This window comes from Homo sapiens, chromosome 1 (genome assembly GCF_000001405.40).
Source record: "Homo sapiens chromosome 1, GRCh38.p14 Primary Assembly".
Classification (NCBI taxonomy): Eukaryota; Metazoa; Chordata; class Mammalia; order Primates; family Hominidae; genus Homo; species Homo sapiens.
In genome coordinates, this window is record NC_000001.11 from 33,019,946 (window position 1) to 33,038,079 (window position 18,134).

General features: G+C 44.6%; 1 protein-coding gene across 9 annotated transcripts in view, besides 1 other annotated feature; it reads right to left on the reverse strand.

The window, feature by feature from the left end:
* The window catches only part of AK2 (adenylate kinase 2), a 28,944-nt gene extending 12,006 nt beyond the window's left edge, over nt 1-16,938 (reverse strand). For 3 of the 9 annotated variants that reach the window (NM_013411.5, NM_001319141.3, NM_001625.4), the window contains exons 1-4: nt 16,791-16,938; nt 4,497-4,622; nt 1,648-1,758; nt 1,422-1,516 (exon numbers count right to left, since the gene is read on the reverse strand). In NM_013411.5, coding sequence (NP_037543.1) covers nt 1,422-1,516; nt 1,648-1,758; nt 4,497-4,622; nt 16,791-16,883 — 425 coding nt within the window. In that variant the 5' untranslated portion in view covers nt 16,884-16,938. Of the gene's footprint in view, nt 1-1,421; nt 1,517-1,647; nt 1,759-4,496; nt 4,623-11,598; nt 11,717-16,790 lie in introns of all 9 variants that reach the window. The other 6 variants (NM_001319139.3, NM_001319140.2, NR_134976.3 and 3 more) reach the window with 4 other exon arrangements.
* Nucleotides 16,757-16,916: an enhancer, noted in NCBI's record as "active region_705". NCBI's record gives its function as "activates an Ori minimal core promoter by ATAC-STARR-seq in GM12878 lymphoblastoid cells {active_cell/tissue: GM12878}" and the evidence as "EXISTENCE:reporter gene assay evidence [ECO:0000049][PMID:35858748]".

An 18,134-nucleotide genomic window follows, 5' to 3' on the forward strand; every position in this document is an offset into this window, starting at 1 on the left:
CACCATTAAAATGACAAAGACATAAAAAAGCTACAGCCCACAATAAAGAAGGGAATGGAGGGTCCATTTGCAGTTGAAAGCTTCTGTCATACTTCTGGAAGGCACAAAGCAGATGGCAGTGATTAGTGAAACAGGGTAGAGACAACTGTAGGCTAAAGCAGTGTTGGTCTGTCAGAACAAACGTGTCCAGAAGCAGAGGCATTTCTGTGTTCAATGCTATTACAGAGAAACAAACATGTTAAAACACACACACACACACACACACACACACACACACACACACAAAGTGGCTGTACTATGAGCAAATTCTTCCTCCATTTTCTAAACTTTGTACAGATGGTTATATTATTTTTACAATAAAAAGTCTACAGCAAAGTATGGCAACTCCAGCTGAAATCAGATTTAAGGAGCACTAAAATGGAGGAGATACACATGTAAAGACATTAACATTTCTTAAGCACCTAATATAGGCAAGGCTTTGAACTATGCATTTTATGTTACCTAACACGTGAAATAGCTTCTCAAAGCAGGTGTTATCAACCCCCTTCTACATATAAGGAAACAGCCTCAGAGAGGTTAAGAAATGTGCCTAGGGTCACAGTTAAAAAGTGACAAGAGGCCAGGCACAGTGGCTCAAGCCTGTAATCCCAGCACTTTGGGAGGCCAAGGCAGGTGGATTGCTTGAGGTCAGAAGTTTGAGACCAGCATGGCCAACATGGTGAAGACCTGTCTCTACTAAAACTACAAAAATTAGCTGGGCGTGGTGGTACATGCCTGTAGTCCGAGTTACTCGGGAGGCTGAGACAGGAGAATTACTTGAACCGGGGAGGCAGAGGTTGCAGTGAGCCAAGATCGCGCCACTGCACTCCAGCCTGGGTGACAGAGTAAGACTCTGTCTCAAAAAAAAAAAAGCAATAAGAGCCAGGCACAGTGGCTCAAGCGTGTAATCCTAGCACTTTGGGAGGCCGAGGCAGGCGGATCACTTGAGGTCAGTTCAAAACCAGCCGGGCCAACATGGTGAAACTCCATCTCTACTAAAAATACAAAAAAATTAGCCAGCCCTGGTGGCAGACACCTATAATCCCAGCTACTTGGGAGGTTGAGGTAGGAGAACTGCTTGAACCCAGGAAGTGGAGGTTGCAGTGAGCCGAGACTGCGCCACTGCACTCCAGCCTGGGCGACAGAGTTAGACTCCCATCTAAAAAAAAAAAGTGACAAGAATGAGATGCTGTCTGACTTCAAATCCCTTGCTCTTCTTTCCATATCCCGATCCCATCTCACCACTTCAGCGGATGTCACCAAATAAAATCAATCCATGTTGAAATGGCACTAAGCTTCATGGCCGGGATTAGGCAAGAGCAATTCTCAGAGTTTGAGAAAGCTCTGAGAAGCATGAAAAGGGACCTTCAAGGGACAAATACCTTCCTGTGATTCTTCGGATCAGCAGAGAGTCTGGGATGCTGAATTCAATCACAGAATCAAGCTTCTCTTTCCTCTTCTCCATGAGGTCATCGAGCTGTAAAAGAATGTGTGGCCCACCTAAGCTACCAGAGCTTGGTTAGACCCATCTCCTTCAAAGGAATTAAGAAAGACAAAGGACAAGAATTTGGTTTCATGCAGTAGTAATATAAAAACTAAGCTACCCACCATTTCTGCCTGCCTCACAGTCCGAGGGAAGCCATCCAGAAGAAAACCATTTTTGCACAAGGGGGTCTCCAAATTCTTCTCAATGAGCTCCACTACCATTTCATCACTCACCTGGAAGTTAGGAACAAAATAGCCTTGGGTTTAAATCCATTACCTAGGTGACTGACATTAGCCCAACTCCACAGCCAAAAGTTTGTGTATATAACCTTATTACTAAACAGCAAGTTTTCTTGGACCCAAAGAAGCAAAAATAAAAGCAAACGTGAAATGGCTCCATTTGGAAGATCCAGTTTCATAATTTTATCTCTGTGGTTGCCAAATACACACTCTCGTCTCTTGAAATTCTCCTGTATCCCAAAAATCTGGGTGAGGGAAGACAGATTCCATTACTTGTTACTTCACCAGGAGAGCTTTGTATCTTAGGTCCTGAAGGTCCCTCCTGCCACTAGAGTCCAGAGTCCAAACTGTCAGATAACAGCTTATCAGCAATCAGTGATCCTCAAGGCACAGGAAATGTGAGGACAAATGGCTGACAGACCACCTGAGAGAGTGCCAGGAGAGAATGGGGTTGACCAAAACACAGGCATCAGCTTTCCCTGTTCCACAGCTGTCATTAGGCTAACAGTAACGTGACTGATGTGTGTACTTGGTTACACATCTGGGCCATCCTGGACATGAGGAAACAGAGAAGTTCACTGAATTGGCAAGATTGGGTCAGAACCAAGGAACTGAAGAGCCAAGCCAACACTCTTCCCTCACTTTTTTTTTTTTTTTTTTTTTTTTGAGACAGTCTCATTCTGTTGCCCAGGCTGGAGTACAGTGGCACAATCTCCCCTCACTGCAACCTCCACCTTCCAGGTTCAGGTGATTCAAGTGCCTCAGCCTCCCAAACAGCTGGGACTACAGGCGCACACGACCATGCCCAGCTAATTTTTTGTATTTTTAATAGAGACGGGGTTTCACCATGTTGGCCAGGCTGGTCTCGAACTGGTGACCTCAAGTGATCTGCCTGTCTCAGCCTCCCAAAGTGTTAGTATTACAGGAGTGAGCCACCATGTCCAGCCCTAAGCCAATATACTTCTGAGTCTCTCTAAAACCCCAATAAGGACTTCTCCCAGTTTTCAGAAACTGGTTTTTCTCTTGGGCTGTTATAGAAAGAAAAGTCTCCAGCCTGTAGTGAAGCCTGCCCATCTTGGCAGCTAATGCTTTTATTTCTTGGTGCTAACTGTGAACTTGGGGACAAAGTACACACTCTGCAACTAAGTGAAGGTTGGAGATAAGCAATCTCATTGCCACATCTCAATTTTTTCTTAGTACAGAGTCTTCTGTCAAAACTCAAAGTCCAAAATATCTAGCTTTCTGGTTTGACTCAGAGATTCAATTACATGAAGGGAAAACTAGATAGAAATGGGCAGGCAGAGGTATCATTTGATACAGCTACAGAATCTCAAAGCCTAACAGAAGGTAACTTGAGGATTAAAGCAAAGTCCAGCTCCTTCCCCAACCAACATTCTAAGATAAAAAAAGACCAGAAGACCAAGCACAAAATGACTTCTGAAGGTGATTCTCAGAGGCCAAGTTCCAGAATAACTCAGTTATAATTAATCTAGCAATCTTTGATTAGTGCCAGAAAATAATAGATTGTATTTGTCCAATCAGGTCAACTGGCCTAAAGAAGGAGAAAATGTGGCTGGGCATGGCAGCTCACACCTGTAATCCCAGCACTTAGAGAGGCTGGGGCAGGAGGACTGCTCCTGGGTTTAGCTCAGTTCAAAACCAGTGTGGGCAACACAGTGAGACTCCATCTCTACAACAACAACAACAACAACAACAACAACAACAAAAGTAGCAGGGCATGGAGGTGTGTGCCTGTAACCCTAGCTACTCATCAGGCCGAAGTGGGAGGATCACTTGAGCCCAGGAGGTCGAGGCTGTAGTAAGCCATGATTGCACCACTGCACACCAGCCTGGGTCTCAGAACAAAAAAAAAGAGAGAAAATGCAATTATCGTCCCCAGATAAGAAGGATTACCTTTGTCACAACTGCGAAGTAATTGCTTTGTTACAGAAACAGCACACAGAGCCATAAAGCAGGTTAAAAAACACTTCTGTGACTTCCTAAATCCTCTCTTGAATACATCTCTGAGTTCTGGCCTAGGGACAGCAGTTTCATTTCTGGCTCTAAAATTTAGGTATATAACAAAACACACCAGCACAGAAAAACTTCAAGAATACTATGAATGAGTGCCATAAATTCAGAACAAACAAAATAACTTGCACTCTAAAAAGTCTTACAAGGCCAAGTGCGGTGGCTCACGCCTGTAATCCCAGCACTTTGGGAGGCCAAGGAGGGTGGATCACCTGAGGTCAGGAGTTTGAGACCAGCCTGGCCAACATGGTGAAACCCCATCTCTACTAAAAACATAAAAATTAGCCAGGCATGGTGGCAGGTGCCTGTAATCCTAGCTACTCGGGAGGCTGAGGTACAAGAATCGCTTGAACCCAGGAGGTGGAGGTTGCAGTGAGCCAAGACTGCGCCACTGCACTCCAGCCTGGGCGACAGAGCGAGACTTTGTCAAAAAAAAAAGAAAAAAAATTTCCTATAATCTGCCAGTTTGTTAAAACACCCTCTAGCACATGGTTGTTCAACAGAATTTTGTTTGATGATGGAAAGTTCTGTATCAGCGTTGGCTGGTAAATACTTGAAATATGGCTAGTGCAACTGAGGAACTGATTTTTACATTAATTAAATTAATCTAAATAGCCACCTGTGGCTGGTGGCTACCATATTGGACAGTGCAGATCTAGATTCTGAGGAATATCAACACTCATTGGTACCACCAAACCTACCAGTTTCCCAGCATCCATAGTTGCCTTCAGCTTTTTTCCTAGCTCTGAGCCAGAAGCCACCATGGCCCTCAGCATGTCCCCAGTAGCTAAATGGCAGACACAGAAGTTTTCAGCCAATCTGGGTGCCTACAGAGAGGAAGACAAAAACCAAGATTCAATTACATTACAGGCTGTGGAGTCAGACTGCCTAGGTGTGAACCTGGCCCTGCCACTTACTGGCTATGTAAACATGGGCAAATGCCTACTTCCTTACCTGTAATGGGGATAAAAGTACCTTATATTACATTCTAACATATACTGATTATAGGGTTATGGTAAGAATTACATGAAATAATATATGTAAAGCACTTAAAACAGTACAACTAGCACACAGGAAGGAGTCATAAATATTAATTATCACTATTTCCACTCAACACACTAGTGACACATAAGTTTCAGTTTCCCCATTATAAATGGGAAGACTTGCTGGGCATGGTGGCTCACGCCTATAACCCCAGCACTTTGGGAGGCTGAGGTGGGCGGATCACGAGGTCAGAAGTTCGAGACCAGCCTGACCAACATGGGGAAACCCCGTCTCTACTAAAAATACAAAAATTAGCTGGGTGTGGTGGCGCTTGCCTGGAATTGCAGCTACTCAGGAGGCTGAGGTAGGAGAATTATTTGAATCTGGTAGGCAGAGGCTGCAGTGAGCTGAGATTGCACCACAGCACTCCAGCTCCAGCCTGGGTGACAGTGAGACTTCGTCTCAAAAAAAAAAAAAAAAAAAAAAGAGAATAAAAATAGTACCAACACTTCACATGGTTGCTGTGAGGTTTAAATGAGATCATGTATATAATGCACTTGGTACAACACCTGGCACATAACATGTGCTGAATAAACATTTGCCAAAGGGATGAATGTACAATTGTCATGTACTACAGCTACTGGGTCAGGGAGGCAACTAGGAGCAGTTTGCCCCCAGGCAGAACTGGGTTTTCCTCCTTCCCTGTCACTAAGTAGCTGTACTATGGTGGCCACCTCACTTTTCAGTTTCCTTATCTGTTTAAAATGAAGGCAAAAAAGGCTCCATCTCAGAAGGTAGCTGTGAGGATTAGCTGAGATATATACAAAGAGCACTTGGCAAATAATAAGCACTTACATACTAGTTTTAGGAGGCATTATAGTGTTTTGGTCAAGAGCACAGGCTTGAGAGTTAAACTGCTGGTTTGCAGACTCCAGGTCCACTAACCATTATGTAAAATTGACTTAAGATGTCACTTCACCTTTCTAGGTTTCAAATTTCCTCTAAGTAAAATGGAGATGGTAATAGTATCTGTATCACTGGGTTGATGAGAAGATTATACAGAATTCAGTATATGCAGGCCCTGGCATATAGTAAGCGCTCAGTGGGCACTGGCTGTTACCATAACCCCTGTCCTAATCCTATATTCATTCATACAAAAAGAAAACATTTACTAATGCCTTTCCCAAGAACCCTGTCGGGAGCCTGGGAAACAGATGAATAAAAGGCATAGACTATGTACTTAAAGAGCTTATATTTGGTGAATTATACATGAGAATGCAGAATTAGAACAGGAAGAGACCCTAGACAGCTCAACACTGGCTTTGCAGTGGGAAAAAAAGAATGCAGAATTTACAAGGAATATAATCAGTTCAAGGAGCTCAATTTTAGCTTTTTCCGTTCAATTGTTTTATAAACTAAGCAGGTTTAGATCCCGATTCCAACAAATCAGTTCACTGGGAGTTTTCTTTTCTTTCTTTCTTTCTTTTTTTTTGAGACAGAGTCTCACTCTATCACCCAGGCTGGAGTGCAGTGGCACGATCACGGCTCACTGCAGCCACGAACTCCCTGGGCTCAGGTGATTCTCCTGCCTCAGCCTCCCAGTAGCTGGGATTGCAGGCACAAGCCACGTGCCTGGCTAATTTTTATGTAATTGGGAGTTTTCTTAGGTGCATGCTTAGGTGCACACAATAAAAGGTACATAGATAGGGCTGGTTTGTGATTCATGGACCAATTCAGTTAAAGCAAAGAAATGACTTCATAGCAAAATGGAATCTAGTGAGAAGGCATTAAAAACTGTACTTGGCCGGGTGCAGTGGCTCACGCCTGTAATCCCAGCACTTTGGGAGGCCAAGGCGGGTGGATCACAAGGTCAGGAGATTGAGACCATCCTGGCCAACATGGTGAAACCCCGTCTCTACTAAAATATAAAAAAATTAGCCGGGCATGGTGGCGCATGCCTGTAGTCCCAGCTACTCAGGAGGCTGAGGCAGGGGAATCGCTTGAACCCAGGAGTTGGAGGTTGCAGTGAGCTGAGACTGCGCCATTGCACTCCAGCCTGGAGACAGAGCAAGACTCCATCTCACAAAAAAACAGCAACAAAAAAAAACTCTGTACTCTGGGTTGGGCGCAGTGGCTCACACCTGTAATCCCAGCACTTTGGGAGGCCGAGGCGGGTGGATCACCGGAAGTCAGGAGTTCGAGACTAGCCTGGCCAACATGGTGAAACCCCATCTCTACTAAGAATACAAAAATTAGCTGGGCGTGCTGGCACGTGCCTGTAATCCCAGCTACTTGGGAGGCTGAGGCAGGAGAATTGCTTGAACCCAGAAGGTGGAAGTTGCGGCGAGCCGAGATCCAGCCCGGGCGAAGAAGCAAGACTACGTCTCAAACAAACAAACAAACCCAAAAAACCAAAATTCTGTACTTTGCAAAATCAGTGAATGTCAGGAGCCCTGACAATGAAAAACCAGGCTGGCACTGTGGCCGTACATCTAGAGAGTGCTTTCTGCCAATCTTTCTCATTGCTGTTGAAATTAACCTGGGTAAACAATTTGGAGGTCAGGCTTGCTCAAGTGGAAAGGCTGACCAAAACACCACAGAGAAGAGCTGTTAGCACAGAACCTGTTCTATTTTTATCACTCCCAAACTGCAGGACTCTTATGCACTGTTCCAGGTGATTGGATTCTACAGCTAGATGAAAGAACACACACCAATAGGGAAGAAAACTAATTCCTGGCTGGGTATGGTGGCTCACGCCTGTAATCCCAGAACTTTGGGAGGCTAAGGCGGGTGGATCACGAGGTCAGGAGTTCAAGACTTCAAGACCAGCCTGGCCAAGATGGTGAAACCCCGTCTCTACTAAAAATACAAAAATTAGCCAGGCGTGGTGGTGGGTGCTTGTAATCCCAGCTACTCAGGAGGCTGTGGCAGAGAACTGCTTGAACCCGTGAGGTGGAGGTTGCAGTGAGCGGAGATCGCGCCACTGTACTCCAGCCTGGGTGACAGAGCAAGACTCTTGTCTCAAAAAAAAAAAAAAAAAGAAAAAGAAAAAAAGAAAACGAATTCCTTCATTTCCTGCTGGCTGCCTGGGAGTCAATGTGGTAGGCTGTAAAGAGCACGCATGGGTTTTGAAGTCAGACAGATTTACACTTGATTCCTAGCTAAGGCACTCAGTAGCCGTGTGATCTTGGGCTAAGTACTTAACTTCTCAGAGTGTCAGTTTCCTCATCAGTTTAATGGGGATAATGACTACTTCACAGGGTTCTTATGAGGATAAATGAAATAAAGTACCAAAAACATCAGACACGCAGCAGGCATTCAATAAATAAAAGGCTTCCTTCCATGGTCTTTCTTCTTTGCATTAGTCTTTATTTACAGGCTGCAGAAACCTAATGAAATAACTTTATTATAGTCCCCTCACACTTCAAACTTATGCTTTAGAGCAGCCATTCACAGACTCTAAATCACTGGAGGAATGCTGTTAAAATGCAGATTCCGGCTGGGCGCGGTGGCTCACGCCTGTAATCCCAGCACTCTAGGAGGCCGAAGCAGGCGGATCATCTGAGGTCGGGAGTTCAAGACCAGCATGACCAACATGGAGAAACCCCGTCTCTACTGAAAATACAAAATTAGCTGGGCGTGGTGGCATAATCCCAGTTACTAGGGAGGCAGAGGCAGAAGAATCGCTTAAAACTGGGAGGCAGAGGTTGTGGTGAGCTGGGATTGAGATCGTGCCGCTACACTCCAGCCTGGGCAACAAGAGTGAAACTCCGTCTCAAGAAAAAAAAAAAAAAATGCAGATTCTAGTTCAATAGGGTAGGGCCTAAGTACCTGCATTTTAAGCAAGCTTCCCGGCCTGGATGAGTGGCTGGGCTCTAAACTACACTTTGAAGAGCAGGGGTCTGAAGCCCACACTCAGTCATAGTCTGTTGCTGTCAGCCAAAAACTGTTGCTGAGCCCAAGAAACAGGCTCATCACCTCTATGAAAACTCTGTGGGGTGGAGGACTCTGGGGTAATTATGGGAATGCTAAAACCACTAGAGAGACAGCATGGTGGGCTGAGTGGTTCTCAAATTTCAGTGTATTATCAATCATCTAGGGCATTTCCTAGGCCCACCTTTAAAGTTTATGATTGAGTGGCTCTCAAGCAGCACCTCAGGTTCTGATGGGTACAGTATGTGAAGCCCTGATGTAGTGGCAGAGACTGGGTTTTGTAGTGGTATAGATCTGGGTTAGGAAACGGGCTCTACCGTTTATTCACTGTGTCATCCTGAACAAATTACATTACCTTTTCTAAGGTCTCGTTTTCTTTATCCATAGAACAGAAAACAGTGTCTATCTGCTGAACTGTTGTGGGGATTTAATAAGATTACGTATGCAAAGACATCCAGCATAGGGCCTGACAACTAGGAAATAAAGGGAAACTATCAGTCCTAGAGATTTGGTTTAATCCCAAATTCACCAGTCTTCTCACCTTGTAACCATCATCTTCTTCTTATGTTTTTTTAGAAATGAGGTCTTGCTATGTTGCCCAGGGTGGAGCACAGTGGCTTCACAAGTGTTAGCCCACTACACATCGGCATGGGAATTTTGGCCTGCTCTTTTTCTGACCTGGGCCGATTTACCTCTCCTTAGGCAACCTAGTGGTCTCCTGCTCCTGGGAGGTCACCATATTGATGTTGAACTTTTTTTTTTTTTTTTTTTTTTGAGATAGGGTCTCACTCTATTGCCCAGGCTGGAGTGCAGTGACATGTTCATAGTTCACTGTGGCCTCAAACTCCCGGGCTCAAGCAATCTTCCTGCCTTAGTCTCCCAGGTAGCTGGGACTCAGGCATGCAGTACCATGCCCGGCTAATTATTGTATTTTTTGTAGAGATGGGGTTTCGTCATGTTGCCCAGGCTGGTCTCCAACTCCTGAGCTCAAGCGAGCTGCCTACCTCAGCCTCTCAAAGTGCTGGAATTATAGGCACAAGCCACAGTGCCTGGCCTGATGCTGAATTTAGTGCAGACACCTGATCAGCATAGCACACTATAGCCCCAAACTCCTGTGCCCAAGCAATCCTCCCACCACAGCTTCCGGAGTAGTTGGGACTATGGGCGCATATCACTGTGCCTGGCACAATTACCTTTGTGCCTCCAGTCTTTGTCACTCCTGCTGTCAATGTTCCTACACATGCAGCTAGAATCATATCTTAAAACACTGTTGGATATGCTACCTACCCTCCAAAACATACACATTCCGAAGCCTTCAACATCTCTGTGGTACAATAGAGGAAGAGTCCAAATATCTTAGCCTGGCACTCAGCTGCCCTCCACAATCAACTTCTAAAACCTGCCAAGCCCTCCCAACTTACTTCCACAAGTGCCCTGTGTTTACGTCCTGCACCACTGCAGACAAACTGCTCTTACGCATGGTTCCCAAATACGCGGCATAAATGCCTCTCCAAGGACCTCAACACAAGCTCCTCACTCCACAGGAATGCCCTCTCTGCTCCAATATTGGTCTAAGCCTTTTCTGTAGTATACTTCTGAGTACATTTCTCCCATCAAAAGCCTAACTGGGCTGGAAGCAGTGGCTCACATCTGTAATCCCAGCACTTTGGGAGGATCACTTGAGGCCAAAAGTTTGAGACCAGTCCGGGCAACACAGCAAGACCCCATTTCTACATTTTTTTTTTTAATTAGCTGGGCATGGTGGCAGGTACTTATAGTCCAGCTACTTAGGAGGCTGAGGTGGGAGGACCATTTGAGCCCAGGAGTTCGAGGCTTCAATGAACTATGACCGTGCCATTGCACTCCAGCCTGAGTGACAGAGTGAGACCCTGTCTCCTAAAACAAAAACACCTCCCCAACTACCCCTTCTTCCGCTGAGGATTCATATTAACATTAGCTAACTTTGAGCATGTGCATCATGCCAAGCAGTTTTCCATGCATTGTTTTACGGTACTTAGTATGTATAATACATAATAAACCCATGAGGTAGGAACTATTTTTAACTGCATTTTACAGATGAAACTCAGGGGCTAAGTTGCCCAAGATCACAGAGCTAGTAAAAGAACTGGCAACAGGCCAGATTACCAAGCCCTAGCTCTTAGCCATGACACTATAAGGCTTTAAGACAAACAACCCAAAGAGCCTTAGTGGCTATCCTCCTGGAAGGGAGCACAAGGAGGATTTCAAAGTGCTGGCAATATTCTGTTTCTTGATAATGGGTGTAAGCTACACAAATCTGTTCACATTGTAAAATAAATCAAGCTGTTCACTTTTTCTAGGTATCTTATAGCTTAAGTTGTTTTTTTTTTAATCACAGAAACCTGTGTTTGCATTTCAGATGTCTCTTAACTTACTGAGGAAATCATTACCAACCTCACTGGGTGGACAGGAGGATGAACAGGAGAACTTCAGCAAATTGTAGTTCTTGTTCTATCCCTGAACTAACCCAACATTCAAAGTCACTCATCTGATGCTTCCCACCTGGCACCCTGCACTTGTATGTATTTTTCCATTCATATTCATTTCTGCCTCTTCATCTAGATTACACAGCAACAATGTAAATTAATGACTACTCAAGAGTCAGACAGACATGAGTTCAAATCCTACCTTTGCTACTTACTACATGTGTGTCCTGAGGCAAGATAAAGCCTCTGAGCTCAGTTTCTCTGTCAGTAAAAAGGACCTATCTCCTAGTGTTATAGGATTAAATCAGATGATACATGTAAAATCTTTAGCTTGGGGGTCTGTCACGTAACTGAGCAATGGGTGACTATGTTGTAATTATTACACCCTCCTGACATGCACACGGTAGGAGAAAAATCTAACCTGGGGCAGTAGATAGCAGCAGAAAGAGCAGGAGCTTTGGAGTCATTCAGATGCAAGCTCTGTAAATTACTTGCTATGTAGCCTAGAGAACAAGCCATTCAAACTTCAGTTTCTCCAACTGTAAAAGGGGAAATAAGAGTGTGGGTCTCAGAGATGTTGCAAGTATCACTGCAATGACATAACTGATGCATCTGACCCATAAGACTGCCTAAGCGTGCCTGGCCTCGAAGAATTGGGCATAAGTTTGACACATGGAAGAAATGAGGAGGGGTTGGCAAAAAAACCAAGAAACATACCTTTGGTTTTGACCACACCGAAGGAGCATCCAACCCCAAAAGGGAGGCAAGGAAATAAAGTTATTTAAATAAAATAACAAACCCAGGTATTATAGATGTTTTAAAACATTACATTGATGCAAAAGCGAGTAGTTTTGAAATATTTAACTACTTTAGTTAAAAGTGAGGAGTTTTAAAAGGAAACATTATTTCAGTCATGCAACATAAAGCACATAAAATACTGAGTTACGCAGGTATAACAAAGTATAGCAGGAAGAAAACAAACATTACTGAGCAGGCACTAGGCACTAACCCCAGGTTAGGGATTTTACATGTAAGATTGCAAACATCTGCCAGTGGGAGCCAAGCAGGCAATGCAACTGTATGAAATGAGTCAAATGTAAGCAATGGGCAGTGAAGAGGACCGTGCAGGGGACAGGAAGACACACAGACCATCCAAAGCAGCAATGCCACACAACTGCAAGTGACTGCTGCCACACTGGAATGGAGGCATCACTGCCAGGTCTTCTGGTTTCTCAAGAGAAACTGGAGCTCTGGATTTTTAAGAGAAATTGCATAACCGAAAACGCTCTGTGGTCAACCTACTATTTTGAAAGCTGACAAAGAGAATAAATCAAGCATTTATCCTGACTTTTCTATACCAACCATATCACGGGGTAACGAAACAGTAGATGAGGGGAAGTTTCTCTTTATAGAAATATTTCAGCTAATAAATGACCAGGGAACAATATAATTAGAATACCACCATTTCACCATCCATAACGAATTACTGAACCTAGACACTGAACAGCATGACTATAAACACCAGAGACAAGGAAATACCATGTGCCTCCTCAGGGAGAGCACAGCACCCACCACCTGTGAAGTAGTTGGGCCAAAAAATTGAACCTAAATTGAATTAAGTATATACTAATTAAGTATAAACCACCAATTTACAGGAAATAGAGAGGGCAGAGGAAGATGTTAAGTACACCAGGGGAATACAACTGAAAATTCCCAGAGAGTGGTATAATACTCCCAGGAAAAATAATCCAATTTCTGGGGCTGGACATGATGGCTCACGGCTATAATCCCAACACTTTGGGAGGCCAAGGTGGGCGGATCATGAGGTCAGGAGATCGAGACCATCCTGGCTAACACAGTGAAACCCCGTCTCTACTAAAGATACAAAAAATTAGCCGGGTGTGGTGGCAGGCACCTGTAGTCCCAGCTACTCGGGAGACTGAGGCAGAATGGCGTGAATCCGGGAAGCAGAGCTTGCAGTGAGCCAAGATCACACCACTGCACTCCAGCCTGGGCAACAGAGCGAGACTCTGTCTCAAAAAAAAAAAAAAGAAAAGAAAAATAATCCAATTTCTTCGGCAAAACCCCAGGAAAAAAAGAGAAGGGGAACTTATAAATTAAAAGAAAGGATGGGCACAGTGGCACATGCCTGTAGTCCCAGCTACTTGGGTGGCTGAGGGAGGAGCCCGGTAGTTCAAGACCAGCCTGAGCAACATGGCAGGACCCCCATCTTTAAAACACTAGAAAAGTTAGCCAGGCATGGTGGCATGCACCTGTAATCCCAGCTATTCAGGAAGCTGAGGTGGGAGGACTGAGGCTGCCGTGAGCTATGATTGGGCTACTACACTCCAGCTTGGGCAACTGAGCAAGACTTTGTCTGTAAAAAAATAAATAAATAAAAGAAACTTAAAATTATCACATTGGTAACACAAAAGAAAATTTGAATAAAAATTGTTGATTTTTTAAAGGATATTATGCTTATGTTTTTAAAAATTATCTTTTAGCAATACATACTAATATTATTTACAAATGAAATGTTATGATGCCTGGGAGGTGCTTTATAATAATTTGTGAAGGGAGAATGGCTAGAGGAGCGAAGGCCACCAGTTAATGGTTGGGGCTGGGTAAGGGCTCATTATGCCATCCTGTCTTCTTTTGTGTATTCAAAATTCTTCATAATAAAAAGTTAAGGTGTATGAGATGTCTCTGCAGGCTAAATGTTATTGTAGGCTACCATTTGTAAAGTCTGATTTAAGATCTTTTTTTTTTGAGACAAAGTCTCACTCTGTTGCCCAGGCTGGGGCGCAATGGTGAGATCCCAGCTCACTACAAACTCTGCCTCCAAGGCTCAAGTGATCCTCCCACCTCAGCCTCCTGAATAGCTGGGACTACAGGCACACACCACCATGCCTGGCTAATTTTTGCATTTTTTTGTAGAGATGGGGTTTCGCCATGTTGCCCAGGCTTGAACTTTTTTTTAAACTCCACAAAAATACATACAATCACCAGTATTCCTATTGTTACAACTCTGGAAAGTGTACAGAGGTTAAATGACTTGTGTAAATCTTATCCTTTCAACTCCCAGCTCTAATCACATCTCCTCTATTTCTACAAAGCCTTCTCTGACCAACTCTCATCTTCATGCACCCTTATCAATCAACTCATTAGTATAATGTTCTTCTAAACTTCCTGAATAAATCATGTCTTACACTGAAACATCCAAGTTGAAGGAGGGGAAGGGAGATGTGTTACTAAGATAAAAGGGAGTCAAAATTTATTGAGTACCTACTATATAGCAGGCTGTCATCTAGGTTGTGGGTGCTTGATACACACACACACACACACACACACACACACACACACACATATATCATAATTTTCCAGTATCATTGTGAATGTTTAGTTGATGAGGGCAAGAACTTTATCAGTCTTGCCCAATGCTTTATATCCCCAATGTTAGGTGCTCATGAAATGCTGAATGAGCAAGGTAGGTATTATCCCCATTTTTCAGGTAAGAACACTGAGGCTCGGAAGTTACATAGCTAGCTAAATTATAAAACCCTTGTCCCAGTACTATACTAGTATAGGTTGTCCATTCCATAATTACTGAAATTATTAACTTCAATATGAGTTAAGAAAAAAATCTCAGGGCATAGTGGCTTGTGCCTATAATCCCTGCACTTTGGGAGGTCAAGGCAGGATGATCGCCTGTGTCCAGGAGTTCAATACCAGCCTGGGCAACATAGCAAGACCCTGTCTCTACAAAAAATTGTTTAAAAATTAGCTGGGCATGGTAGCATGTGCCTGTACTCCCAGCTACCTGGGAGGGTGAGGTGGGAGGATTGCTTGAGCTCACACCACTGCGCTCCAACCTGGGCAACAGAGTGAGACCCTGTCTCAAAAAAAAGAAAAAGAAAAAGAAAAACAATGAAGCATTTGAGCTACTGTTTATACTTGATCACTCACAGCAAAAGTCTGCAGAGTCTAAGATTAAACTTCCCTAAGCTGCAGATTACCCAATAAATGAGTGTGGCAGCAACAGGAAAGAGATGTCAACAACGCTGAGGATAAAGGATAAAGGGATCAGGTACAGGTAAGCTCCAAAGAAGAATCATCTCAGTCTGTGGAGAGAAAAGAAAGCTGTATTTTCTGACTTAGTGCCCAGGTCACAGGAATGAATGGAGTGTTCCAGAACTTCTTTCTTTATCACCCACATTAATCTGTGACATTCATCCACTTCCACTAACCCCATCAAGGGCCAAGTAATGTGCTAGGTGCCACAAGGGGTACCAAGAATGAGTAAGATGGTCTGTTTGCCAAGATTTTTAAAACTTGGCAAGTGCTAGGAAGAGAAAAGCGGGCACAGGGCAGTCCTCAGATTCCCTTTCATTTGGGAGCTCAGACTTCCCTCTTTGAAGCCTAACAACAGGCAAGAGCCAGAGGCTTAGGGCCCCAGGTGCAATGCCAGACCCCAAGCAAGAAGGGGACATCAATAATCCAACCTGCGGGCTTCCAAATCCGAAATGAGATCATCGATCCCAACCCTAATCTATGGCCCCATTATGTCCCAGATCTAGAAGGGGCCCAGATCCCAAGTGAGGCCCCTGTTGCCTGCTAGGGCAGATGGTAACTTCAGACTCTAACTCCATGGTTCCTGAGGTCTCAGGCTCATGAAACTCATTTCACTAATTTGGGAAAGCCACCTGACCTTTCTGGGCCTGTTTTTTAACCTGTTGATTGATAAAGTTAAAATTTCAAGTTCCCTATAAACAACAACAAAATAAAAAAAGGAAAAAATAAATAAAAACCAAAGGGAAGGAAGATACAAACAAACAAAAATAATAAAAACAAAATAAAAAAAAATTCAAGTTCCTTTTCATCTAAAATCATTTGCGTCATCCCAAGCTGCTTAGCCTTCAGTAGCCTCAGGTCCTAACTCCAAGCCAGGTCCCATGAGCACTCCCAACCCTTATTGTGGACACTACTCAAAGGTTGCGACTCATGGGTCTCCAGGCTATAAACCAGTTCTACACATTCACCCCCAACTTTCAAACAGGGAGAGCCTTAGGTTTCCTCCCATCTCAATTCAACTGGCTCACACAGCACATGTCACCTCTCACTCTGCCCCACGTGTTGGAGATGCTTCTCCTCCCCTCCCCCTAAGTCATAAATCATTATCAAAATCTCCCGACCTCCAGTGCCTGGAATGTAACCCTGATTCTGGACAATTCACCTCCAACTCGCAGGTAACCTGGGCCATAAAGCTAATTGCCTCCATTCAGCCTGTAATCTAGATGCCTCGGCCCAGGGCTCACTCTACCCCTCAAACCTTTCCAGTCTCTAGACCCTTAGTGGAATTAATCAGCCCTCACATTCCCTAACCCAACACTTCAACACTGAATCCCTCGGGCACTCCAATCCTAACTCAGACTGCCCCGACCTCCAATTTGGACCCTCTCCGAAATGCCCCACCAGAACCGAGACCCCGGCCAGCGTTCCCCGCAGGCCTTAGTCCCCGGCCCGCTCCGGGCAGGTCCAGGGCTTCTAGATCTCCGGCCGCCTTGACCTTGGAGTTCAGCAGGCTCCGCCGCCAAGCCCAGTCCTGCCGCTCACCTGGGTCCCTTTACCGGCCCCGGGAGGCCCCAGCAGCACGGCCCGGATGCCTTTAGGATACTCGGGTTCTGCCGCTGGCACGCTGGGAGCCATGTCCGCCGAAGTCTCTCACTGCCACCAGTTCGCACGCCTCACAGGTCCAGTGCTTCCCAGGTCAACGCACGCACGCCACGCACGTCCCACTCGCCGCTCACACTGGCCCATAGCCGCGTCCGTCAGCCCGTTCCGCCCGCCCCTGAGCACGACGGACTCTTCACCTTACCAACTGCACGGCGATACTGAGGAACTTTGCTTTTGATTGGACAGAATTGGTGCGGGATAAGGAAGGGGCGGGCCAGCATGTACTAAGGGTGGCGGGTGTGCGGAGTGGGCGGGAAAACGCGAAGGAGGACAGGAGGTCAGGCCGGAAGGTATACTTCGGCATTTGACAGTTGACGACACCAGCAACAACATTGAAATCCTATTAAATTGCGCGTGGGAGTTTAAATGGGTAAAATCACTCTTAGAAGACAAATTAGTAATATGTTTCAAATACCCTTTGGTCCAGCAATTCCACTTCCACGAATTCAATGGATAAAATCAAGGATATGAGTAAAGATTCGTGTAACAAAGTTGTTAATTGCAACACTTAGCCCAAAAGCCCGAGAAAAACCATAAAATAAAGGCAATACTCCAAATGTCCAACAATAAGAGATTGGTTAAATAAATTGCAACCAATTTGTATCCTGGAATACCCCTGTTGTATAAGATAATTTAATCATGCGGGAAAATGTTAGCAAAGCGAGATACAAAATTGCAGTTACAACAAAATCCGAATTTTGGCCGGACGCGGTGGCTCACGCCTGTAATCCCCACACTTTGGGAGACCATGGCGAGCGGATTACCTGAGGTCAGAAGTTCGAGACCAGCCTGACCAACATGATGAAACCCCATCTCTACTGAAAATACAAAATTAGCTGGGAGTGGTGGCATATGCCTGTAATCCCAGCTACTTGGGAGGCTGAGGCAGGAGAACTGCTTGAACCCAGGAGGCGGAGGTTACAGTGAGCCAAGATTGAGCCATTACACTCCAGCCTGGGCAACAAGAGTGAAACTCCGTCCCACTCCCCCCCCAAAAAATCCCGATTTTGTTTATTACAAGTGTAGACCGCTGTGTAGTGTGATTAGAGGAGCACCTCTCCTTTGTATATTTTAATAGATTTTTTAAAGTTCTATGGTAAATTCTTAATAAGTTTAAAAACTTAAGTTTAAAACAAGTTTTACCTTTATATTAAGAAAAACGTTAACCTTTTAAAGTCAGGAAAAGATAGTTTTTCTCAAAAGAGATGACCCTCTTGGATAGGG